This window comes from Homo sapiens, chromosome 3 (assembly GCF_000001405.40).
Source record: "Homo sapiens chromosome 3, GRCh38.p14 Primary Assembly".
In the NCBI taxonomy this organism is placed as follows: Eukaryota; Metazoa; Chordata; class Mammalia; order Primates; family Hominidae; genus Homo; species Homo sapiens.
The window spans coordinates 16,238,758-16,265,176 of record NC_000003.12 but is presented as its reverse complement, the minus strand read 5'-3'; the positions used below and the strand labels follow the sequence as shown (position 1 = coordinate 16,265,176).

The window sequence follows — 26,419 nt, the reverse complement described above, 5'->3', positions numbered from 1 at the left end:
AGCCCCACATTCTATTGGTCGCTGCCGCCCAATAGGAGGAGCGGTGCGCGACCCCGCTGAGCAAGCTTTCAGTCTTCCCAGTGTCTCCGCCCCTAGTTCAGCCATCTCCATGGTGACCGCTACCGGTTATCCATTTGGCCGCGCAGGGCGGAGTTGCGTCATTGCCTATGCGCCGGAAGGGCTAGTCCTTGCCCGGCGCGACCTGATGATGCCGAGCCCAGGCCGGTTCCGGCGAAGTTAAACCCTCGGAGCTGGCCTCGGACTGCTGGGGCGTTACCCCTTCGGCCACCCCCGCTGACCATGGCAGTGTTTCATGACGAGGTGGAAATCGAGGACTTCCAATATGACGAGGACTCGGAGACGTATTTCTATCCCTGCCCATGTGGAGATAACTTCTCCATCACCAAGGTAACTTCAGGGTCCCGCCCGGCGGTTCACCCAAGCAAGCGCAGTTTGGTTCCGCCCGTTCCTTCCATCATTGGGTAGCCTTTGCTGCGCTGTGTCACCCACGCCCTCTTTCCCGTTGCTGAATCTTCCTCCTCCCGCGTCCCCCCACCCCAACTAATGCCCTGAGCTCTCTCGGTAGGCACGCAGTTCTGGCCTTAGATTAGGTCAGGGAGAGGGTGGCGGAGAGCCTCTGTCTCTCTGCCCGATCCCTGCCTTAGGGTCCCAACCTGGGATATTTCTGTCGAGGAGGGGACTCGTTTTTTGTTTCCCAGGGCTTTTGGGGCGACCGAAGCTCGCCTGACCTTCCTAGGTGTTTCCCCTAAGTGACGCTTCTAGGGGAAAATGATGTCGGCATTTCTCGCTGAAGGCCCTGGGGTTCTCACCCACCTTGGGGGGAAGGCAAGCCACCAAGAGACTTGCATCTAGGGGTGGGATAGGTTTGGGGGAGGAGATGGCGAAGAGAAGCTATCCTGACCACATGGTATTTGATTTCGTTGTAGGAAGATTTGGAGAATGGGGAAGACGTGGCAACGTGTCCTAGCTGCTCTCTCATTATAAAAGTGATTTATGACAAAGTAAGGGATATAATTTTAAAACGGGGGAAGGGTATTGTAAGTCAGTGGCAAGGACTTAGATCAGCTTGTCAGTGATGAGTGCAGGAGAATGTTTCATTGTGCTAGGTAAAGTGCGGTATTTTTTTAGGCAGGTTTTAAACACCATTGATAAACAGCCGAATAGTAAATTAAAACGTTTAAAGTTCAGATTACGTAATTTATTTTAGCTTTAGAGATAAATCTAGCTTTAGTGAAAATTATTATTTATTAAATAGAAAGTATATAGATTATTTTAGTGGACAATTTTTTATATTTCTCTTCTATTTAATATGTAATTAAAATTGTTTAGAGCTGCTAGACTTACTTTGAAGGGAACAATTGTATGGTATTTCGTGCTGGCTTATACACAGAATTCTGCATTATCTTGTTTGAGATATAATTCCTAGGTGCAGCTTTACAATTTCATTTTAGTCTTTAGTTGCCCTATTATCTTTCACCCAAGGATGTTGACAATAGAAAAAAAAAATGTTATTACTGCCCACTCCTACCCAAAGTTTTGTTCAGTACTTGGAATGGAATCTTAGGTAAGGACCTTAACACTCTCAAGGATGAAGTCCAAAATGAATATAGGGAAAGTGGGGATGAGGCACAGAGCCTCATGAGAGAAGCGGGCTATAATTTAGACTATAATTTAGAAATATAATGATTCATTCTTGTATTAAAATGTGCTCTGCAACAGAAAGCAAACGGTAAGGAAGATCAGGAGTGCTGGTCTGGGAGGAAGTTGCAGTTTTCCATAGGGTGATCATGGCAGGCCTTACTGAGAAAGGCCTTAATAGGTAAAGATTTGAAGGAGGTGAGGGAGTGAGCCATGTACATATGAGGGTATGAGGTAAGAGAGTCGAGCAAAGGATCGTTCAGTGAAGGGGACCTAAGACAGGAACATGCCTGATTTTATCAAGGAACAAAAAGGAGGCCAGTGTGACCAGAGCAGAGCAGGATGAGAGTAGCGTAAGAAGTTGTGGATCACTTTAAGGACTTAGGCTCTTGTTGTGAGTGATATAGGGAACCATTGGGGGATTTTTGAACATAGGAGTGCTATGATCCAACTTAAGTTTTTTAAAAAATGATTCTGGCTGCTGTGTTCAGAGTAGCCTATAGAGAGCAAGCATAGAAACAGGAAAACCAGTGTAATAGGAGGCTATTACACTAATTAAAGAAGGAGATGGGTGGCTTGGACCTGGTTACAGCAATGGAAATAATGAGAAGTACTTAGATTCTGGATACGCTTTGAATAACTGATTGGATATAGGGTGTGAAGGAGTGAGACAAGGATGATTTCAATATTTGTGACCTTAATAACTGGGAGGATGGAGTTACTGTCAATTGAGGGAATGTAACTATAGGTATAGGGGTTGAAATTGTACATACTAAGTGAGAGGTCTGTCATCCAAGTTGAGCTGTTGAGAAGGCAATTGGATATGCATGTCTGGCGTTCATGAGAGAGATTGGCTAGCAATGTCAATTTGGGAGTTATCAGTAACAGATAGCATTTAGAGCCATGAGATTGGATGAGACCACCAGGTCTGTGAATGTAGAGATGGATAAAATACAGGACTGAGCCTTAAGGCACTACAGTATTAAAAAGTCAGGGAGGGAAGCGAGGAATCACCAAAGCTGATGGTAAAGGAGAAACCACTGAGAAAGGAGGAAAATCAGCAGTGTCAAATCCTGGAAACCAGATGAGAAAGGATTGAGGAAGTGGTGATCCTTGTCACGTGACACTGATAGGAAGCAATCAAGAATTAACCATTAGCTTTAGCAACACTGAGTTCATCTGTGACGGAGATGAGAGCAGTTTCCATGGAGTAACAGGAACAGCGCATGAGTGAAGAAACCAATGGGCAGAATACTGGTTGGAGAGAATGAGAGAACAGAAGGCAGTGAGTATAGGCATTTCTTTTAAGGAGTTTGCTGCAAAGGAGAGCACAGACATGGGACAGTAACCAGTGGTGATAGAGGATCAAGAGAGGGTTTAAGGTGGTAGAAATTCAGCCTTCATTAGTGAATATAGACATGGAAAGTTAGATTTAACCAGGTTTAAGGTTTTCCCAAGTGAATAGTAAGGAGTGAGAGAAGAGTGGTTATAACTGACCATGGAGTTTGAACTAGGTAAAGAGAACATGAAGGGAGTGAGGGGCAGTGAAAGGGTGGTAGGATGAATATGGTGGAGGTCCAGAGGGGTTGGAATATGGCATCCAGGGTGGATAAATGACAGCAACAGAGAAGAATAGCAAGGCGGTAGTCTCAAGACATAAGATTCTAAACTGATGGGTTTTAGACAGGAAAGGAGAATGGAGGCAAAAAGGAGGAACTAGCCCCACTTCCAATCCCTCTGGTACTAGGACTCTGAGAACACAGAGCCTCCACTAGATGGGCTTGTAGGGGAAACTGTCCTTAAGAATATGACTTCATCTCAACCTCAGCCCTGTTGACATTTTAGGCCTGATAATTCTTTGTTGTTCAGAGATACCCCGTGCATTATAGGATGTCTAGCAGGATCCCTGGCCTCTACCTACTAGATGCCAATAGCAATCCTCAGTTGTTTCAATTCAAACTGTTTCCAGATATTACCAGTGCTCTTGGGGATAAAAGGACATTTTGAGAAAGAGGTTGAGAATATGAAGCATTGTGCTAACAATGGACCATGAATTCCAAAGGGCACAGTGAAAGGGTTCCACATATTGGGCAACAGAGTAGCAGGGACAGAGTAGGGGCTGATCCTTCGGGAATCAGATTGCTGGAGGTGAGGGATAACCTTGGAAGCAGAGATTTTTGGTGGTAGCTGACATAAGCCAGGATAAAAGACCAGAGATTGAACTTCATTTACAAAGTAGCTAACATAGCAGATTATCCATGTTGGGAACCACATAAAGACCTGTCCCTTTTAGTTAGAAGAAGTAATTACTTTGAAGAGGACTGGTATTTGAATGACCAAATATTAAAGTGGAGAAGTTTTAGTGTAAGTAGTAATTAATACAGAAATTTAAAATATGTGGCATGTCTTTATGTGATTTCTGAGAAGTGGTTGCTCTGAACTGAAGATAGGGATGTTTGTTTATAAGGTGCTTTGTATTAAATAATGAATTCAGATCAAAAAACTGATACATGTTTAAGATTCTACTTCTGGTGCTGTCATTGGCTCTTTGAACAAGGATGAAATGATAATAGCAAATGAAAAACAATTAACAGCGCTGGATTGATGCTGTAACAAAATGAAGGTTTAATATTAATGTATTTGTGACCGGAAATTCATTGGTTAATGTCATTTCTCACTCTGTCTTAGGATCAGTTTGTGTGTGGAGAAACAGTCCCAGCCCCTTCAGCCAACAAAGAATTAGTTAAATGCTGAAGAAGCCTTCAGGAATCCAAATCCTGAACATTTGGAATGAGCCCAGATAGAAATATCGAATGCAAAGCTACTGGCTTCACAGAGACAACCATTTATGATTTGCTGTTCTGTAAGAGTGTGGATTCTTTCTATCAACTGCTGATATCATCTTCAGGAAGCAAGTCCATAACATGACATATCTGGATTTTGTGCTTAGAACCTTAAATTGGAAGCATTCTTAATTATGCATCTAAATTTAAAAGAAGATAATTTCAAAACAGTGCTTTCTTTCCCTTGGTTTCATCATTTTCATATCTTAAACCAAATTACTTCGGTATCTGACAACAGCATCATCTACCTCAGTCATTAGGATTTCTTAATAAAAAAGAGATTGTATTTTTGACTTGGTTATTAAGATTATTAAAATTAGCCCTTCCTTTGAAATATGACATCAGCTTTGCTGTTCTAAATTTAAAATTAGTTGCTTCATCAGTACCACACTTCCAGTTTCTATACCAAGCCAGTCTCCTCAGTTTTCCCATTAGAATGGACATGTTCTGTTCAGCGTGTCATTTCTGTAATGCTTCATGCAGAGAGTTTGGTCATAGTATTAAAGAGAAAATACAGTGAGGTCACAATGTCTCCAGAGCTAAAAGTTAGTGAACAAGAAAGAAAGTCCAAAATGAAGTGATGAAAGAATGAGGACTTTTCTTATATTCTGCATATTCCTTGGAAGTCAGGACAAGATGAAAAGAAAAACATCCAAAAGAAGTGAAATTGGTGACAGAATGAGAGGAGCAAAGCATACCAGTGTAGTAAGTGGAATGTTTGAATGACTTTGCCAGGTCAGAGCAAGTAATATTTCTGTATCTGAGTTTTTGTTTGTGTTTTGATAAGGCTAATGAAATTGCATTCCAGGTAGGGGTTAACGTCAAATTTCCATGGCTGGTAGCTGTGCTTTTGGCATATCACAGTGTTGTGTCACTACTACAAGGTAAAGCATCTACAGCGGAGAATGAGCTTGAAAATGAGAGACCTATTGTGAATAAATATGCCCATGAGAGCATATTTAATAAGCCTCTATAACATGCAGCCAAACCAGACATTCACTCCTGCAGAGAAATGTTGCCCTGGAGAAAAAGAAATATATAAAGATAGGCTATCACCCTTCTTTTGCTGCAGTACTAAGCATAGCAAGAAATTAGAATCATTTACATTGGAAATTTGAAAATTCCCTTTATATACACAACTTTACTGTGTATAAATAAAAAATATTTATTAATGCAGTGATGTCCGTCAGGTTGTTTTAGGAATGGCTTCTGCAATTAGAAAAATAGCTTGCTAGAATGTAAATGTTCTGTTACTGGTAAATGTACTGCACACATTCATTGGACGTTAAAACAAGTGAGTAGCCTTTTTTACCTGCCAGCAGCATGGCTGTGTGCAGCCACTAGGCTGAGACAATAAATTACCAAAAATTATAATGTACCGAGCTGAAAATGCTCAGTACATTATGTGGCATATTCTGGATGTGATGAGAAATCTCATTGCCATTTGGGACACTGACATCCCAGAAGTAATCCACAACTGCTTTGCAAAAGCAAAGTGACTGCTCAGATGAACAGAGCAGAGTACTCACTCACTATGGTGGCATCAGCTGCAAAGCAAAATGAACTGTCCCATGATCATGTTGATGGTTTTCTAGATACTGCCAACATGTTAGCTCTTTCTGATGCTGATGAGTTTCAAACACGAACAGACACCCTTGATGTGGGTTTGCTAAGAACATAGAAGAACAGGAAGAAAAGTTGCCAGGTTCACACATCCCAGGAAAAAAGAAGCATAAAAAGCATTAGCAGTCAGTGACTGATGATAATGCTGCAATAATGGGAATGGTTTTGTTTCTAAACCAAATTATTTCTAAATCAAATCATTTATTGCTTTGTTTCTAAAGCAATTGAGTCACTAAGTTTGTGAACTGTAGGAGAACACATCAAGATTGAATCCTGTGTTAAGCAGAAGGTAAAACCAGAGCCAGGCGCAGTGGCTCGTGCCTGTAATCCCAGCTACTCAGGAAGCTAAGGCAGGAGGATCATGTGAGGCCAGGAGTTCAAGACTAGCCTGGGCAACATAGAAAGACCCTGTCTCTAAAAAATCTTCTTTTAATTAGCAAGGTGTGGGGCCTTGAGCAAATTGCTTGGGCCCAGGAGTTTGAGGCTGTGGTGAGCTGTGATCACACCACTGCGTTCCAGCCTGTGTGACAGGGCAAGACCTCATGCCTAAAAAATAAAGAGAAAGCAGAGTAAAACTGGACTCTGAGATACGACTAAAGTTCTGTGTGATACGTGTGCCTTATTTAGCTCAAGACATTCCTGGAGCACCTATAAAAACTGACTTGTAATCCAGGCTATGTCTCTTTTTAGCTTCGTAATCTTTGGCAAGGCCATTGGATTCTTCAGCTGTACAATTAGGAGACTCGATCAGGTGATTGCCTTTCTCAGCTGTCAGTTCTCTAATTTCAGGCTTGGTAGCTTGTAGGAACTGAAATTGCAATTAAAACCTTTATAAACTCAAACTAAATCATGAATTACAGAAAAAGTCCATTCTTCCAAAACTTGATGTTACCACACTTACAAGTTTAAAATATGAAGTCGACTGTTTAAAGGATTCTGCATATATTCTAGTGTGCACATTCAGAAACATTTTTCTTGGAAAAAGTACCCAACATTTTTTATAACTGCACATATTAATTTATTGCCAGAATAAATTGCATTGCATGCTAAATAAAGTCAGATAATTCAAATCCATTTGCTTTTATGTAGTTTTTCTTCTAAATGTCAACATTTTGAATTAAAATGTTTATGATTTTATATGAGGTAGAAATCTTAACTGCTTTGGGGTATTGTTAATAGACTTTTTGTTATGGACAGTAGTTTTTAAATAAGGAAATTGCCAATTTCTACAGTTTGGGCTCTGGATTTCTATTGTTTGGGAAAAAAATAACTGAGTCAAGTGGTAGTAAGACAAAGTTGACATTCTTAGATGAGTAACTCAGTTTATTACAAGGAAAGAAAACTGATTGTTTAAGGCTGATGATCAATTCTTGGAGTGGTTTCAGAGCCCAGCTCTGGTCAGAAGACAATTTGAATCTTAGTTCCTCCACTGTGATCTCCGAGAAGTTACTTAATAATTATATTCTGGTTTGTGAAATCTGGATCATAGTACCTCTTTGACAGGGTTGCTGTGTGAACCCATTCATTCTGCAATTAGAAAAATAGCTGTCATGTGCTATGCACTAGGCAAAGAAGTACCTGTCACATGCTAGGCACTAGGGGAAGAAGATTCGGTTTCTACATTTGGAAACTTAGTGGAACTAGAAGAGACAGAAGCAAGATTACAGATGAGTTAGAGCCCCCAAGGAAACAAACCAGGTGATGTGGGAGAGAGTAACTGGGTCAGGTGACTTTTTAAGGGAGTCTGAGCTCTGGCACTTTTTCTAAGACCTGAAGGATGAGAAGGAAACAGCCTTGTGAAAATGATTAAATGAGCTAGTATCTATAAAACATGACAGCTAATGCCTGTCATGTGCAAAAAATGGTTAACTATTCTAACTCCGAAAGGAATTAAACATTGTTTTGCGCTTTCTCCTAGTCCATGTTCTGCTGCTGTAACAATACCTGAGACTGGATAATTTATCAAGAATAAAGGTTAATTTGGCTCATGAGTCTGGCGCCTGGGGAGTTCATGTTATGACCATGGTGAGGGTCTCGTGCTGTGTCCTAACATGATGGAGAAGCAGAACGGGAAGCGGGCATGTGCAAAGATACCATACTGGAGAGTCAGCCTTATTTTATAGCAACCGCCTCTCTTGGTAACTAATCCAGTCTTGGGAGAGGGAACACTCACTCCCACCAGATGTCATTAATTTCTTCAAGGGCAGATCCCTTGTTATCCAAATACCTCTTAAAAGTCTCACCATCTTTCAACACCATTACGTTGGGGACCAAGCCTCAATATGAGTTTGGTGTGGACAAACCATATCCAAGCCACAGCAAACATTGACAGTATTCTTGGCATAAATATGAGAAGTGCAAAGTTTTGGACACCCTTGCCTCCCTCTTATTGAATCTAGGGGTAGGGCCCAGCAACCTGTGTTTTAACAAGCCTGCTTGCTGATTCGCATGCAGTTAAAAGTTTGGGAACCACTGGTTTTCAAACTTGACAGCACATTTGTAATCGCTTCGGGCGCTTTAAAAATTTGATGCCCCAGTGAGTCTGACTTAATTGATTTGGGTGCAACTTGGGCATCAGGATTTTTTAAAAAGTCTCCCTAGCGATTCTAACATGTAGCCAAGGCCTAGAACCACTGGGCTAGAAAAGCAGAAAGTTCATAATCACTAAGTTAAAAGGAACCATTTTTTTTTTTAGACGGAGTCTCGCTGTGTCACCCAGGCTGGTGTGCAGTGGCGCGATCTCCACTGCAAGCTCCGCCTGCCAGGTTCATGCCATTCTCCTGCCTCAGCCTCCTGAGTAGCTGGGACTACAGGCGCCCGCCACCATGCCTGGCTAATTTTTTATATTTTTTAGTAGAGACAGGGTTTCACCGTGTGAGCCAGGATGGTCTCGATCTCCTGACCTCATGATTCGCCAGCTTCGGCCTCCCAAAGTGCTGGGATTACAGGCATGAGCCACAGCACCCAGCCAAAAGGAGCCAATTTTTTAAAATGATCACACCTGCTTTGCACATGGACCAAGGAAAGGGGGCTCAATTGGCCACACACTGCATTTAGGCATGCAGTCAGCCTTAACAAGTGCCAGGAGAGCCCAGGCTGGGCTAATGTACACAGCGGGAGAGCTCTAAACTGGGCGGCCTCCGGGCTGCATCCCGTATTTAAACAGACAATCACATTTTCCAGCACACGCTGGCTGCTAATTACATACCTTACAAAAGCAACAGCTTCTGCAGGTGTAAGTAATTAGGATTTCTTTAACTCCATTTGAGGATGCCTGCCATTCCCTGCTTTTTACCTAGCAAATTGCCATGATTACATATTTGACTGGGAAACCAGTTTACAAATTATTCCTTGCTAAGAGTTTAAAACAAAGGACACACAAAAGAGAAATCACAATTCCACAAAAGGCTTAAAATACAGTGGAAGTAGAGTGGGGGGAATCTCCACCTTTCTCTACATACTTGCAGAGATGCACTTACAGAAGAGCCCTAGAACTCAGAACGAAACACAATTCTTTGTAATGTATGAATGAATATTGTTCAAATTCTAGGAAAACAAGTTAGCATTTTAAAAAGGAAAGTTGTTTTTCAGTCTTCAGACTTTACCACTCAAATTAGGGGGAAAAAAGGCACGTCCTCTTCAAGCCCTGGCACAGGTGGACAAGTTCGAACTTTGGGGAAATTTGGAAGTTAGGAATGTCCAGCTGCAGGAGTGGAAACCCTGGAAGGGGCTAGTGAAGAAGTCTGGAAGGGTCTTTGCTTCCCTGGTGAGATTACCTCTGAGCTTGCAGCCGAGCATCGGTAATGGGGTTGGAGTTGCTGTTGGTCAGTAAAGCTGGCAGGAAGAAGCACCAGGCATGCAGCAGGAAAGACGGAAGATGAAAGCCAACCCACCAGCGCCTCTGCAGCTGTCTCTCACCACCTTACACTGTAGCGCTCTCCAGTCACAGCTGCTGCCTCCTTTCTGCCTTTCAAACCTTGCACCAATTTCTTGTTTTTACTCATCTGTAACCCAGAACCATATTGGGAAGAGAATACTGGGAAATAGTCCCAGCTTGGCCAAGTTAATATAGTACAAAACTACCACAGTTACTGATACTGAAAAGCCACTCAAATCCACTTGAATATCTTAATTAGAAACCCTACTAATTTTCATCTTTGTACAACCTGGAAAACTTTGCCACAGCACCTGCTGAGACAGGACAAATGCCGGGAAACTAACCTAGCTACCAATGTAGATTGCAGAGGCACAGGTAGGCCCAGCAGTCTGTTTCCAAGGAAGATAGCCATCTCAGTCCCAGTTGTGGCAAGTGAGAGGTACTTGATTTGGTATATGAAGTAGCTCCCAAATGGGGGTACATGCCCAGTAAGGAGTAGGAGATCCCAATAAGTGCACAGGGCCACCAGCATTGCTTCAGTCCAGGAGGATCGACACTTGGGGCAATTTCCATGTGAGATCTGACCTTGGTATCAGGACCCAGTCACTAGGCAAATATTTGGGGCCAGACTTCATACTTAGAGGGGAACTGAATGTTTGATAGGGTCAAAGATTGTATCTTTGGACAAAAATTAATGCCAAAGTTGAGAATGAGGAACAGGGGAAAGCAAACCCTTAATGGGCACTACCTGTGTGTACTTTAGGACAGCACAGGCCACCGGGTCCACCCCAGAGGATGTTGGGTCCCAGTGTACAATTCCTAATGGCAGTGAGGACTTAGAGCATTACTGTAGCTAGCAGGTATCTCCGAACCACCAACTGATGATGGTGATGAGAGTAAAGCATACTGGATAGGGGATTGGGGACCATTTTATGAGATTAAATGAGATAACGCATGTAAAGCACTTAGCACAGATTTTGCACCTAGTAAGGGCTCAATAAATAATAGTTTAATCTTACGTGTTTCTTGCTCCATAATAAATTACTTAAGACTATGTTGTGAGGTACTTGCCTGAATTTACAGGTTTAGACAACAATGGACTCAGCCACAATGTATCAGGGTTCAATCCCAAGAAGCTGAAGAACCATGAGTGAGAGAGAATGGAGATGTGTTATAAGGATTAGACTTTACACGGCGTGGGAGCTAGTGGAGGCATCAAGGGAAGGCGGTTATTTCTGCATCTGATGTTGATCCTAAAGTAGTAATTGGTCGGCCAAACTGGTAGTCGTAAAAGGAAGCTTGGTGTGAACAAGAGAAAATACAAACCGGAACCTACATCTGTCTCACTACCTCCAACCTTAATGCTGTGGGTGACTTCTAGGGGAAGCTGGCACCCGTCTCCACAGAGTTGCATAACCACTTGGCCCAGAACAAGGCAAGCTAGCAGATTGCAACATGCATAAGCACCCACTGTTCCTGGGATCCTGCTCCAGCCTTCAGAGCCTAAAAAAACATGTCTGCTGCTTTACTTCTGGCTTCCATATCTTGCAGAAAAATTCTCTTGTGGTCAGTGCTAACCCAGGACCACCAGAGAAGGGAATACTGGGAAATGTAGGCCCAGTTTAGCTAAATTGTAACATACATCACTGGGGAAGTCAAGGCAGGAGTGGGACATTATTGGTCTTCAATGAGTAAAGGGATCATAGCATCGCATTGTTTAGATCACACTATGAAGTTGGTATCATAATCCTCATAGTAACTGAAACTAAGTCTTTGCCAATGTATCAATCAGGAGTTGTTACACTACAAGCCACCCCAAAACTTAAAACAAAAGTCATTTATTCTTGTTTAAGTGTCTGTTGGTCAGCTGGGGGTTGGCTGATCTTGGTTGGGTTTGGCTGAGTGGCTCTAAACTGCAGATTAAGTCTGGGTCCAGTCTTACGTTTCTCTTCCTTCTTGGGCCAGTGAACCAGCTGGAACAGGTGCAGGTGCCAAGTCCCACTGCACATGCACATTTGAAGTCATGGCTTGCATCCGATCTGCCAGTGTTTCATTGGCCAGAATGATCACATGGCTGAGCTAAAGTCAAGGGCAGGGAAATACAATTCTTCCATGGAGGTGGTGGAGGGAAGGAGTGAAGAATTTTGAAAAGTAATTTAATCTATCACAGTCATTAAATGACTGGCTTGGCATTTCAATACAAATACTTTTGACTCCAAATGCCATTGTCTTTCTTTTATGGTAGTGTTTGAATAATTGAAAAACTTTCCAAGGCATAAGATGGAAGCAGTTGAAACTTTCAAACAAATTAGTTATTCTCATCTTTCTGGCCAGACATGAGACAACAGTCCCATGGGATTAATTTTTGCTACATTTGCATTTTGAGGTGAGTGAGGCATTGGCTGTGGTTTCTGTATTCAAAACCAGGCTTCACCTTCAGCAACATAACTCTGATAATAACGAGTTAATATTCCAAAGTCTGCCATAAACATCCTCTTGAAGGTATTTATTAACTCTAATTATGGAGAGAAATGGAGCCATATACTCATAAGATGTCATTAAAAATGAGCTAGAATGCCCACGGGAACGTAGACTACTCACCTTACTGTGTCTGTTTCCTGGTTGCTAGAACTTTGGGATGATTCATTTTGAGTGTTTTTTTTTTTTTGCAGCGAGTTCCCTGATACATTTCAGTGGTGCCCAACAGTTTGTTATGCAGACTGTTTCAAATCAGGACAGCAGCTCTCACTTCAAGTCTGATATGATCCGCGTGACCATAGCTGAAACCTTGAACTTTGGACCTTAAACAAAGTCTGCCATATATAGCTTACATATTCCTAGCAGAATGTGGCCTATCAGTGACTTGTCCATCTGGCTTGGCTAAGCTCTCTCCATACCACGCTGAGTTAGAGGGGGAAAAAGTCAGTGAAGTTAGCCATGAAGGAGAACTTTCTGCTTGGAAAAGTGTTAAGATGGTTAGTACTACTCACTTCAAAATGGATAAACGGTGTCGTGCAATCAATAAATATGCTCCAAGCATTTTTTATTTATGAGAACTGGGGCCTAATCTCTGTGCAAGGGAGGGTTTAAAAACTAGAATTATGTTACAGAGAATCTGTAAGGACAGGACAGAAATGTTTCTCACCAATAAGTGACCCCAATGTATGTTTTGGCAGTTAAACGATTGGAAGCTTTGTCCTCTTTGCCAAACATGCACCTTCCTCATCATCAATTTAAAAAACTATCCTGTGGACATAAAGAGGCAGAAGGAATGCCTGACCCCAGCCAGATGGTTCCTGTTTTTCCTGCACACACACGTGTTCCTGCCCCATCTGTGGACTCAGTGGGTCACTGCCCTGGGCAAAGAGGCCAAAGATGATACTGATCACCTCTCTAGGTCTTGGCTTCTCAACTGTAAAATGGGGTGGCGGTAGGAGGAATGAAGGAATGACTTCTAAGGTTCCTCTCAGCTCTGTTCTGATGTGACTTTGAGAAAGCAGGTGACTATTTCTATACTTGGATGAAGCTGTCCTGGTTTGTCTGAAGGGGCAAACTCGAGAGGACTGCTGCCCTTCTGGGCTGGGGGATGGGGAGGAGGAAGAGGAGGAGCAGAGCGAGCAGCAGCAGTCCTAGGATGGTGGTGAATAGACAGCGCCAGGGCCTCTGGGGGAGCTAGAGTCATGGGACTCTGGTGCTGGCAGGCCCAAGCCCACGCCAGCTTGCAGGAGGGCAGTGCAGCCAGAAACCCTCTGCGATCATGTGTTCCCCTTCCCAAGGGGCAGCCTACTTCATGTGAGTGCCGGGCAGCTGACATTTGCAGGATCTTCACCCCAAGGTCTGAAGCAAACAGCCAGTCAGTTACTGGCCTCAGTGACATCTCAAGATGTGCCTAGCAGGGCTTTTGTGCTGTTCAGCATGGTAGCCACTAGCTATGTGTGGCTTTCTAAATGTAAATTTATTTATTTATGTATTTATTTATTTACTTATTTTGAGACAAGGTCTTTCTCTGTCACCGAGGCCGGACTGCAGTGGTGCAGTCATAGCTCACTGCAGCCTCCAGCTCCTGCGGTCAGCCTCCCAAGTAGCTGGAACTATAGGCACGTGCTACCATGTCCAGCCAATTTTTTATATTTTATAGAGACAGGGTCTTGCCATGTTGCCCAGGCTGGTCTCAAACCTCTGGCCTCAAGCAATCCTCCTGCCTCAGCCTCCCAAAGTGCTGGGCCTCCGGCACACTTATAGGTGTGAGCCTCCGTGCTCAGCCCTGAATTTAAATTAAAATGTATAAAATTAAATTAAGAAGCCAGTGCCTTAGTAGTCACACTACCACATTTCAGGTACACATGCGCACATGTGCTGTGGCTTGAGGTAACCCTACTGGATGGCTCAAATAACATTTCTATCTTCACAGCAAGTTCTCTTGAACAGTTCTATTCTAGAATGTGGCATGGTGCTCACGCACTGAAGAAATAACGCATCTACTAACTTCATCTTTTTTTCTATTACCTTTCTTTGCTTGCTATAGAATGTCTATATATACATTCTTTGAGAGTAGAGAAGAGACAGTGGATGTCAAATATCTGGGTTCAAGCCTCAGCTCTCCCACATCAATTTTAGGAGAACTATTTAGCACCTGTTTCTGCATCAATAAAAGGAGGTTCCCAGGGTAGTGGAAAAATATAGGTAATAAACATGAAGTTTTTGGTAAACTCTACTCACTGTAGATTTCCACCAAGTGATGCACAGAGAAATGGGAAGGGTCATGTCATTAAATTTTTGTTAAAAAGAGGTGTTTTTGGGGAATAATATTGGTGGTTTTTCAGAAGACACAGTAAGGATAAAATGATGCTACTTCCTTTAAGGTGGGAGGCACCCTTTAGGGAGCCTTCTTGACTTTTAGATTTTATAATGCAAAGTCTAGGACGTTCTAATCCTTAGAATACTAACACACACCTTGGAAATTAAATCAGGAGTCTCTGGAGGTGCACAGGAAACAATCACAAGACCCATCCATTTGTCACTCAAGGAGATAAAAAGAGAAGTTTTTATTGCTCTTTCTTCTACTTTATAAATTTGTGTGAAATTCTGTCCAGACTTTGGCATCACTTTCACGCAAGTCTGTTAATGCTTACCCAGTGACAAATTGGGCCCTCTCTCTCCTGTGTTGGTACGAAGGGGTCTTTTTGTTGGCAGGATTATTTCTCCAGCAGGACCAAAGGACACTTGAATTTCCCATGTGGCACAAAGGTGCCAAGAGGAAAGCACCCCTCCAGAGGAGATGGGCTCAGAGAGGAGGAAAGGGCTGGATTTCCAACCGACTCTCACTCCCCAGAGGTCAGCATCTGAGACACAGGCCAGAAGAAGCCAGCAGTTCTGGTTTCCAGGGGCCTATCAATGTCATCCCTGATCCACTCAGAGGAAGGGAGCACTCTGCCCTTGCCAATGTGAGAACGCCCCAGACGACTGGAAGGGAGCAGATAGGGCCTTTGCACCCCTCCCCAGCCTGTCCCTGCACCTCTGGCCAGTTCCAGGATGCTGGTTGTCAGGGCCCAGTCAGCCAGGGTCCAGCAGGCATATAGGACAACCCTGGACACTGCCAGGCTGCTCCCCAACAGCCTAAGAACTCACTAGAGTGGGCAATAGGGGGCGCTAATCCCCTATGGCTATGTCTGAAGTCAGATTGTCCTTGGTTCAAATCCTAAGTCTGCCACTTATTAGTGGGAATTGTTTTAACCTCTCTGAGCATCAGTTTCTTCTATAAAATGGGGACAATGATATTCTTTCACAGGGTGCTATGAGGGTCAAATGAAATAACAATTGTAAGCAGTTAGCACAGCACCTGCTTCATACTCATGTACATCCTTGCTTTGCCTTTTTCTAGTTTGATTCTGGGCATTTTAGCCTCTCTCTGTCCGGTCTTCCCATCTGTGAAATGGGGAGAGTAACAGCACCGGCCTCACTGGAGTGTTGAAAGGACAAAATGAGTTAGCATAAGAAAAGCACTTAGAACAAGGCCTGGCATGTGGAAAAATGTGAAGTAAGTGTCTGCTACTCCTCTTCATTTAATCAATATTTGTTAAGTTCTTGCTATGTGCCATGCATAATGATAGGAGCTGGAATGGTCCATGTTATTAACCAGTCTGCTTTCCACAGACTCCTAGCTGGTCAGGAAGTTCTGCCCTGCCTGGCCATGCCCCATCCACACACACATTGACGAGGAGCCCACCCCAGCCAAGGTTCTGTTTGGCTCCCGTCTGGGGCTCCTCAGTCTCCATCGCCTCATTCCCAAGTGCAGGAAACTGATTCCAAGGATAGTGCTTTCTATACATTGCAGAAATAGTGCTGGAATAAGGGCATCTCTGAGAAGATCCGTTCAGCTGTCAGAGAGCACTCAGGGATGCCTCCCACTGGTGTGCAGAAGTAACTGGCATGAAAGTACGTTAGAATTCACCACCCACCTGAGGTAAGCGAGGCATTTAAAAATGCATACCTATTTCAAGTAAAAACAGATGCCTCATTGTCATTTCTGTGACTCTCACAGTGATTTTGTCTTCAAGCTGTCTTTTTTTCCTCTAAGGAACTGAAGGCACAATGACCTGGGATTGTCAGTGTTCTCTACTGTGTCCAAACTGGATGCTGTTCAGAGAAGGGCTCATCATCCGGGGCCCAGCAGTCTTCTCCCCCGACAACTCCAGCTTTTCTGCACTGCCCATTCTCTGCCCTTTTTTGCACTCACCTTAAATTGTATTCCAATATCCTTACACGTGATTTTATATGTTCTTATATCACGGTGTGTATGTGTGTTTCGGCTTATGAAAGACAGAGATACAGATACAGAGAACGAGGAAGGGAGAGAAGGAATGAGAGAGAAAGAGCATGAGAGAGAGAATAAGAGAGAGAATGAGAGAGAGAATGAGGGAGAAAATGAATTAGACCACAAAAGCAGGGCATAGACCACGAGGATGTTTATTTGCCTGCTGGCTAAGGCACCTATATTTTCTAGGGCAGAATAACTTTTCATGTGTTTTGAGCGGGGGAGGGAGGCAGTGAACAGTAGCTTGAACGATAGCTTCTCTGTAAACATTGTCAGTAAACTGCAGGAGAAACACCGCCCCTCTTCAAAAACGACTGTAGTGAAAATGGAGCAGGTGGGACTGCGGCTAGGAGGCTGGTAGGTGGGCTGTAGAGTTTTCGCCACCAAATGACCGCAGCTGTTCACAGATGAGCTGGAAGCCTGGAGTGCCACATGTGCATGCCACTTCGTTCCTGGGACAGCCCCTGTGTGTGCTGGGTGACGTGTCGCCACCAAGCCAGGCCTCATGAGCACAAGGTTAGATCCTCAGTGCTAAAAAGGTGCTGGGTCCGGGAGGGGGACAGCAGACTGAGGTCGAGGGAAGCCCTGGAAATGCTGAGAGGTCAAGGGGATGGTGAGGGACTTTTATGTTCCCAGTACAGGAAGACAAAAAATGTATTTCAAGAGGAAATGATGCTTCATTTACAACACACTTTCCCAGGTTATCTGATTCTGGGCCTTGCGTTGTCTTTTATCAGTTGTGGGGTTGGAGTGAGTGTGGGTCACAGGCGTGCCTGTGCTTCTCCAGGTTTCACAAGCCCCGTTGAAGGGTGCAGCCTGCTGCTTTAATATTTGTTGCAGGCTGACCTGGTTCCTGTTTTAGTTCTGCCACTAGGTGGCGCAAGCTAACCAATTAGGGCTGCGGCGCTCAATGCAGACGGCAAAGGCATCATGATCTGACGTTCCTGGATTTGAATCCTTTGTTAGTTTTGTGACCTTGGGCAAGCCACAGTTTCTCCTTCTGTAAATTAGACATGATGAAAATCACCTTGCAGGGTGGTTGTGAGGATTAAATGAAAAGACATGTGCTAAGCACCTTGCACAGTGTTAGGCACACAGTCTAAATTGCTGCTTTTCTCTTTTCTTGTTCATCCATTCAATACACACTTATTGATCCATATTTCTGTGTCATGGCTGATAAGGACTTTGTCTGCAAGCATCCTTTAGCAGAAGGTCTTACAAACAGACACACACACACACACACACACACACACACACACACACTACAGTCTTTGCTGGAATATAAGATATATCTTCTACCCCCTGGTTCAAATTCATCCAAAATTTACTCTGTGCAAATGTATTTATGTATGAAAAGCCACATTCTGAAGAGGAAACACAATGGTAAATATATAGCAACAACAACAACAGCAAACACTGTGAATATACTCATTTCATGCTTCTCTAACTTTCTCAGAAAAATTACAAGCCATAGGCCTCACAACTCATCAAGTACAATGTCAATTTTCCCACCTAATTTTTATTTAAAATATTTTATTCCTGTAATACTTTCATTTCAATTATTTATTGCTATAAATACTTTTCTTTTTAATCTATATAATATTATGCTTTTCTTTCCAGAGTTAGAAGAGTATTCCTATATATGCAGAATCTATTATTCCCTACTGGGTTCTGCTATAGAGTATTACATGAACAAGATAACATGTTTCCCTCATAAAAACAATTTAAAATCCTTTTCAGGCTGGGCGCGGTGGCTCACGCCTGTAATCCCAGCACTTTGGGAGGTCGAGGAGGGCAGATCACGAGGTCAAGAGATCGAGACCATCCTGGCCAACATGGTGAAACCGTCTCTACTAAAAATACAAAAATTAGCTGGGTGTGGTGGCATGCACCTGTAGTCCCAGCTACTCAGGAGGCTGAGGCAGGAGAATCACTTGAACCCGGGAGGCGGATGTTGCAGTGGGCCGAGATTGCACCACTGCACTCCAGCCTGGCAACAGAGCGAGACTCCATCTCAAAAAAAAAAAAAAAAAAAAAAACCACTTTCAAAACATGTATGTTTGTCCCAGAGGAGGGCACAGTGACCCTTAGGACAGTTCCCTCAGGATGGCCCTGGGCTGTGGGCCAGTGTGCTCTGAGTGGAGGGTGTGTGAAGAGGAGGTTGTAGGGGCCAACTTGCGAGGGATTTGCATGTAACACTAAGGAGGTCAGGTTGTTTCCACAGGAAACTGTGAGCCACAGCAAGCTTCTGAGCTGAGGAAGATGGGATAATGCCCCCAGCCATAATCTCTTGAAAAAGCAAGGTCCATCCAAAGCTGAAGGCCAGATAGCTTCATTCACAGTCATACCCCAAACCTTCTTCCCATCCCACCTCCTCTTTTTCCCTCTTCCTCCTTCTACTGTTCATTCATTCAACAAATGTCTATTACCCATATACCATATTGCAGATACTGTTTTAGACACTCCAGTTAATCACTGAAAAAATAGTGACAAAGCTTCTTCCTCCCTGGAGCTTGCAGAAACACTTTCTCATTATGATATTTGCATATGCATGTGTCTTCTTTCATATGGGCCTCCTGAGCTGTTTGCGGCTACAGTCCTCCATGTGGAAGAAGCCGGGAATATGGCTTTTCCCCTGAGGCCCAGCTGCACCCCTGCCCTTCCCATGGATTGGGGAACCCTTCCTTCAATTTCATGTGATGCTTCAGTATTTTTCCAGTAATCTCCCCTGCTTCTACAGGACCAAACCGGTTCAATTTCAGTTTCTGTCACATGCCATCAAAATGTTCCTGCTAGAAAGGACCCAGCCAAGAAAACTGGAAAGAATTTCTTGATTATGTTTAGGATGTAGGACCAGCCCTAGAGTGGGGCCAAGGGCCCTGTGGCAGGATTCCCACAGGTGTCTGGATGGCTGGGCCCTGTTTCCGTTCTAGGGCCTAAGTTGGAGACTGAATGTGCATCAGCCATGTTAGTCTAGAAAGCCTGTGTTATAAAGGAAGACTGTGCTCATGTGTGGTTTAGTTTGGGTTTCCCTGAAAGCAGAGCATGAGACAAGGACTGGATGCAGGTGGTTCATGAGGGGTGTGAACCTGGGAAGCAGGAGTGTGGGAGTGAGGATGTGAGATGGGGCAGAAGGAGGCGCCAATATAAGGACACGTTAAAGTTGCCACTTGATTCTGTTGACCCTCTTAAAAAATATACAGGATGCGTTGTATAATTATCCACCTGAAAGACAGAGGCCAGACATCCATCCACTGGTTCCCATCCCCTCAGTGACTGAGAGTTGTCCTGGGAGTGTTAACTGTCCTAGCAAGCCAGGGTGCTTGCTCCCTGGATGTTTGAGTAACTCTGCCTTCAGAGAAAACCCTGGTGCATAATGCAGAAGACACTTAGCACAGGGCTCAGGGGATCTGAGGCTGCACAGAACTGTTCAGCAGCAGTGGCGGAAAGCAGAGAAGGCCTGAGGACATGTGATACAGGCACCAGAGGTTTCTCCGCCATACCTTACTGAACTTTGGAGTTATATTTTAAATTATATGACCTCAGTTTGGGTGACATGCCCCTGGCACAGACGAGGTTGTCTCTGGCTCATATCTGGAATATTAGCCTCTGCCAGGACTCCAGTCTTAAGCATGGGTCTGGTAAGAAAGAGATGAGCTTCCAGAAGTTCTAATGAGATTCTCATTCAACTTTGCACTGTCTACATGCCGATGGTGAGGCTGCTTTGTGGGGGCTCAAGGAGTCTGCACATTCTTCAAAACATGTAGCTTTCTCTAGTGTGTACCCCAACTGTGCTGACTTCCTTAAACCTTGGATTTGCCCAATGGCGTTAGGATGCCTGGCCCATCCTCCAGCCTGGGCCAACTATTGGCATTGATCAGTGTAGCAGTGGTGCACAAATCCTGTTGCTCTCTAAGTTCAGAATCCTGTTTAAAGCTCTCCTGTGTGGCTGCAGCCAGCAGCAGAGTCTGCCCCTGGAATGCCTGTTCCTCTCCTTCCTGGCAGCCAGGCTCCATTTAGTTTAAGGATTTTGTGCCAGGAATGTTATCTGAGCTGTCACCATCATGCTTTGTCACCCTCAAGTGAATGACAGGAAATGGATCGGCGAGCTCTGTCAGTTTCCTTGCTGCTGGCATCACTCAGGTTCAACCATGAGCATCGCACTGTGAGTCACTGAGGAGGTGGACAGAAGCCACTCAAACGTCTCTGCCAGACTTCAAAAGAGCTTTAGGAGATAGAAGAGTCCTATCGATCGGTGCCTGTTCTTCTGTCTTGATTGTTACTTTGAGCCATGCAGCTGTGTTACCATGGGTGCCTGCCACTCTTCTGAGTGTGCAGAGCCTGTGTCTTATGAGACCTGAGAAAGAAAAAGTCATCAACCCCCAGGTCTGACTGGAGCCCGCTCCTTACTTAACATACACAACTTCACAGAACACGACATCAGACAAGGTCAATCTGTGGCTGTGGTGGAGTGAGACAACAAGACCACACTGAAATAAGAACACCCAGCACACTGTGAAAATGACCAAATAGCTCCTTCTCCTGGCAAATATGAGGGGTGTTTATCAAGTACAGCTCCAGCCCTGCTCTGTTCTTCCCACAATCACCTAGATACAAATTATTAGGATGCCCGTTTATAAAATTGTCCCAGTTTCTGACAGCTCCCTAGCAAGACCATGCTTCCCAATCTTTTCCCAAATCACCTAACCCAAGCCCTGACCTCCTGAGAAGCTCCTTTGGACACTGTCCTACTGAGACACCCATGGTTCCTCATGTGGGTGGTCTTCCTTGCTACACCTGCCAATAAACCTAACTTTGATCACCCAGAGGTATGTTCCTGGTGGTGCTGGCGGGTGGGCATAGCCCCAAGGGAAGCTGGCCAGTGCCAACCTCTGCACAGGAAGGAGGTGCTCCCTGGGCGCCCACTGCATCAGCTGCAGAAGTGATCTCTGGGAGCCATTTGGCAAGGCGAGCTGGGCTCTGACCTGAGGGAACCTTTGTTGGTTGGCTCTTATTGCAGATGTTTCGGTGTCCAGTGTCGCATCCTTGGGCCTCCTTGGATATCAGCCCCAGCTCTGGCCGAACTTCCATGGGGGCTTAGATTCATCTTGCACGACATCCAGGTCAAGCCCCACCCTCTCCACATTTCTGCCTTGGGGTCTTCTCTAAAGCCTTGGGAGCCTGGTCTGCTCTTGCAAGTGCAGCCTGCAAAGTGTATCCCAGGGAGTGAATGGCCCCGGGTGTAACCCTCAACCAATAAGAGAGGAGAGCTGGTGGGAAAATGTCTCAGTCTGGTGTTCTTTAGGTAGATAGTTCTGGAACATGTTCTGTGGGCATCTCAGAGTAGAAAGAATCGAACCCCATTGCTCAAAGCACCCTTACATTGACTTTTCTTCCCTGCCTATCTTACTCTTCCCTCTCTCTCACTCCTGCTTCCTGGGATCACCTCCCAAATAAATCACCTGCATCCAAGGCCTTGCTCAGGTTCTGCACTTACATTACCCTAAACTAAGACACCTACCCAGCAATCCCTACCACCACCTCCTTCTTACAGAATTTTCTTTTCTTTTCTTTTCTTTTTTGAGACAGGGTCTCTCTTTGTCACCCAAGCTGGAGGGCAGTGGCACAATCACGGCTCACGGCAGCCTTGACCTCCCAGCCTCAAGTGATCTTCTTGCCTCGGCCTCCTGAGTAGCTGGGACTACAGGCATGTGCTACAATGCCTAGGTATTTTATTTTACTTTTATTTTATTTTATTTTTTTTTGGTAGAGATTGGTTTTTGCCATGTTGCCCAAGCTGGTCTCGAATTCCTGGGCGCAAGAGATTTGCCTGCCTCGGCCTCCTAAAGTGCTGGGATTATAGGCATGAGCCACCACGCTCAGCCCCTACAGAGTTTCTTAACCATAATATTGGCCAAAATTGTTTCCACCTCCAGCTCTAATCAAGATTTCCCAAGCTCCTGGTCACAGAGATTAGTTCAGGGGCAGACGCATTCTGCAAGTCAGTTCAGTCAGAGTAAACAGTAGAGCTTTGCTGGGGATTCTGGGACATAGACTCAGTCTTAGCCACTGGGCCTGCAGGCATGGTGGCTTAAGGATAGCTGCACACTTTTGCTACTTGTCCCTTTGATAAGTGGGGTCTGCTTCCCCTCCTCCCTGAGCCTGGGCTGGCCTGTGATTGCTTTGAGCAAAGGAGTATGCTGGAGGAGATGTTATGTCAGTCCCAGGTCTGGCCTTTAAGAAGACTGGCAGAAATCCTGTTGGTCTCTGGAGATGTTCAACCACTGTGTAAGATAGCTGCCACAGAGATGACGGAGACAAGTCTTGAGATTATATGGAGAGGGGAGGGCCCAGCTGAGTCCAGCCTGCCAGCCTCCCCTGCCATGTGAGAAGCTCTTTTGTACCCTCCAGAAAAGAACAGCCATGAGCTGACACCACCAAGTGACACCAGTTAGAGCCCCATGAAGCAGAGGACTTGCCTAGTTGATCATGAGCCATAATAGTTGCTGTTTTGGCCGGGTGTGGTGGCTCACGGCTGTAATCCCAGCACTTTGGGAGGCCGAGGTGAGTGGATCACCTGAGGTCAGGAGTTCAAGACCAGCCTAGCCTACAAGGTGAAACCCCATGTCTACAAAAATACAAACATTAGCTAGGCATGATGGCAGGTGCCTGTAATCCTAGCTACTTGGGAGGCTGAGGCGGCAGAATCGCTTGAACCCAGGAGGCAGAGGTTGCAGTGAGCCGAGATCGCGCCATTGCACTCCAGCCTGGGCAACAGAATGAGACTCCATCTCAAAAAGAAAAAAAAGAAAAAAAAGTTGCTGTTTTAAGCCACTAAGTTTTGGGGTAGTTTGTTATGCAGCAAAAGATAACTGGAACAGTGCAGTGGGAGTCTGGAATTGCTACAGCCACATGTGGAGAGTCTAAAGCCATCCAAAAAGTGATCAGGACAAAGTCCTCTTAAATTTGACCTCAAATAAGACCTCTTCAGTGTCTAAATTTTAGCTCTGTAATTTTTCTTTTCCACTTTCATTCTGCTTGTTTCTAGGCACAAAAGAAAGATGCTGTGATCGCTTTAGTTGAAGTTCAACAAGCATGTATTACGTGCCTGTCAAGAGTCAGATACTATGCTAGGGACTCTGGGCAAAAAGCTAAGCAAAATTTGTTTAAAGTCCAGAGGAGGAAACATCTTTTTGATAATTTTAACACAAAGTGGTCCATGTTAAGACAGGGCTACATATGCAGTGCTCCAGAAGAGGGGTAATTAATTCAGCCCGGGGGTTCGAGGAAGACCCTCCAGAGACATGATGTATATGAGTCATGCATGATAGGTAAGAAGAAGCTGGCAAACGGAGGGAAGGGCATTCTGTGCAGAGGGAACAGAGCATGGTTAGAGCAGAGACAAGGAAAAGGGTGTTGTATTGGGAACTACAAAAACTTTGGTGTTCAGAGATGGGGCAAATAGTAGCAGGTGAGTCCAGAGGGTGGAGGCAGGGTCAGGGAGGAACTTGTAGTCAGGCTGTGCTGGGGAGGCGGGTCATTACTCTGAAGGTGATGCGGAGTCATAGAAGAGATTATGGAAGGAGAGTGCTTTAGGTTGATTACTCGGGCTCTAGTGTAGATTGAAGGTGCTTGAGTGTGTGAATCTGAGGTTCATGGTTGGAGTCAAGGCTGGAGAAACACTTGGAAATTACTGAAACATAGGTGGATTATTACTTCACAATACATATTTTAAGGATCACTATAAGCTGGGCATATCCCCATGGCAGTGTTTGAAAAAGATTGTTATTTACAAATATAGGTCTATTTTGTGTCCCACTTGGCAAATGCATCAAAAGGAGCACTTGATTGCCTTCCTGGAAATGTTTTTGAAATATCTCTGCCTTCCCAGAAACCAGGGAGTCCATATTCAACTCTGACTGAGTCTGTGCTGACATAAAATTCAGTGAAGATGATATTTTGCAATTTTCTGATTCATGAGTGACTCATCAAGTCATCCACGCCAGTGGTTCAGAAAACACACGGGACAAGGCCCTAGAGGTGTGACCTTGGTAAATAACAGATATTTAATAAATATTTATTGTTTTTAAATCTGCAAAGTAATCCTAAGAACTAGAATTCACTCTGGAAAGGGCATTATAATCTGGTTTGTTAATCATGAACATATCATCCAGAAACTTAACTTTGTGCTTTGCAAACTACCTAAAGCACAGCCAGTGAAATTTGTCACAGCACAGAAAGGTTTTCACTTTACCAACCCAGCCCTCATGAGTATCGGCCAGATGCCATTACCTTCTGTGCTTTCTGAATGGACTAAGAAGGGGAGGATTAGAACCAAAGGGTTGGAGGATTTTGTCTTAAGCATCTGTCTTATGGTAAAGCCTTGAGAAAATCCAGAGGCCCCTTGACACTACCATGTAACGGCTTTTCCCATTAATGGGAAGCAGATGGGGTTAAAAGGTTGTCACTATTGTTTTAAGCAAGATTCTCACGCAACTTCCTATATCATATGTTTACAACAAAGGAAGAAAATCATCATATATCCCATGGGAAGCCCACCCCCTTCACTTTTACACGCCATGCTTACTTGCCTTTTATGTTTCTTTTAGAAAGCAAGTAGAAACCAGAATCTCAGAGACAAGAATAAAGTGAAAGAGTTCTATTGGTTGTCACACCTGGGCCACAAATTTTATTGGAAGCTGTGCAGTAAAAGAAATCAGAACACCATTGCTTCCCAGAGTGTTTGACCGATTATGATAGCAGTGGCTGAGTTCCAGATGGCAGGCACTTTCCTCATATCCCAAACTGAGTACACGGAGCTGCTTCTGGGGCATTGAAGGTTCCTACTTGGGCAGAGGGCAGGAGCTGAATGGATAATACCCAGGAATTGTGAGCACAGGATTTTATAGGTCTCTGTCTCAGTGTCCTGCAGTTTTCATCCCATGACATTAAAAAAAGAAGCTGAGCCCAATCTTGCCTGAGAGAGGAGGCATCTCAAAATGCATGTACTGTCACTGGCCATCCATCTGCCAACTTCCCACTTCCTGGTTTGCAGAACCTTTGTGAGGTTCTGGGTGGCAATGTGCCCAGCCTTTGCTGAGGTACTTTCCTTGCCACTGTCCCAGCCACCCTTGCTGCTAGGACTCTGGCCAATGAGACAGATGGGAAGGTCTGCTGGGGGGCTTCTGGGAAAGATCTTGCTTTCTCAGTGAAGAGAAAGACATTATTAATGAGGAGAACTTGCTTCTGCCGCCCTCTCCATCCTGTTTGGGATTCTGGGGCCAGGATGTCATGTTTGGTGTTGTGGTGACCATCTTGTGCTGGTAAAGAGACAGAAACCAGGATCAAAAGCCAACAGGAATGGTGAGTGGAAGTTTAAAAAGAGCCTGGATCATAGGTGTCTGTAAGCCATTGTACCAGGCACAGAACTGCCTGTCCTCAACTAGGCATGTGAGATGACTAAAGTTCTTTATTTCTTAAGCCCCTGGGAGTTGGTTATTCTGCTCCTTGTACCTGAATGCATCCAAACCAATGCACCTAATTTTGGCAGGTCCTAAAACAACCTGGCCCTTATTTTTACCCATTCCCATTTGGACAGTCCCT

The 26,419-nt window shown here is 44.4% G+C and overlaps 2 protein-coding genes and 1 long non-coding RNA gene across 4 annotated transcripts in view, besides 4 other annotated features; 1 reads left to right on the top strand and 2 right to left on the bottom strand.

The window, feature by feature from the left end:
* Positions 93-402: an enhancer, noted in NCBI's record as "active region_19540". NCBI's record gives its function as "activates an Ori minimal core promoter by ATAC-STARR-seq in GM12878 lymphoblastoid cells {active_cell/tissue: GM12878}" and the evidence as "EXISTENCE:reporter gene assay evidence [ECO:0000049][PMID:35858748]".
* On the top strand, positions 234-8,116 carry DPH3 (diphthamide biosynthesis 3). Of its 2 annotated transcripts, NM_206831.3 has the most exons (3): positions 234-408; positions 948-1,022; positions 4,348-8,116. In NM_206831.3, the coding sequence occupies exons 1-3, from the start codon at positions 301-303 to the stop codon at positions 4,411-4,413; spliced, it is 249 nt and encodes an 82-aa protein (NP_996662.1). In that variant the 5' UTR covers positions 234-300; the 3' UTR covers positions 4,414-8,116. The 2 variants fall into 2 exon arrangements, with proteins under 2 accessions (NP_996662.1, NP_001040899.1); NM_001047434.3 differs by lacking the exon at positions 948-1,022.
* On the bottom strand, positions 4,765-13,991 carry LOC124906218 (uncharacterized). The gene is made up of 2 exons (XR_007095838.1): positions 9,902-13,991; positions 4,765-7,652 (listed from the first exon to the last, which is right to left on the bottom strand). It is a non-coding gene; the product is annotated as an uncharacterized LOC124906218 (long non-coding RNA).
* Positions 8,994-9,495: an enhancer, noted in NCBI's record as "H3K27ac hESC enhancer chr3:16297189-16297690 (GRCh37/hg19 assembly coordinates)". NCBI's record gives its function as "activates a minimal SCP1, AML or CMV promoter by ChIP-STARR-seq in primed H9 embryonic stem cells {active_cell/tissue: H9 hESC(primed)}" and the evidence as "EXISTENCE:reporter gene assay evidence [ECO:0000049][PMID:30033119]".
* Positions 13,992-16,952: 2,961 nt separating the features above from the next.
* The window catches only part of GALNT15 (polypeptide N-acetylgalactosaminyltransferase 15), a 73,545-nt gene continuing 64,078 nt past the window's right edge, over positions 16,953-26,419 (bottom strand). Inside the window, exon 10 of the mRNA XM_005264852.6 lies at positions 16,953-21,173. Within this exon, the coding sequence (XP_005264909.1) occupies positions 21,165-21,173 (9 nt within the window). The 3' untranslated portion in view covers positions 16,953-21,164. The remainder of the gene's footprint in view (positions 21,174-26,419) is intronic.
* Positions 17,541-17,835: an enhancer, noted in NCBI's record as "tiled region #8904; HepG2 Activating DNase unmatched - State 1:Tss". NCBI's record gives its function as "activates a minimal TATA promoter and a strong SV40 promoter by Sharpr-MPRA in HepG2 cells {active_cell/tissue: HepG2}" and the evidence as "EXISTENCE:reporter gene assay evidence [ECO:0000049][PMID:27701403]".
* Positions 20,306-20,805: an enhancer, noted in NCBI's record as "H3K27ac hESC enhancer chr3:16285879-16286378 (GRCh37/hg19 assembly coordinates)". NCBI's record gives its function as "activates a minimal SCP1, AML or CMV promoter by ChIP-STARR-seq in naive H9 embryonic stem cells {active_cell/tissue: H9 hESC(naive)}" and the evidence as "EXISTENCE:reporter gene assay evidence [ECO:0000049][PMID:30033119]".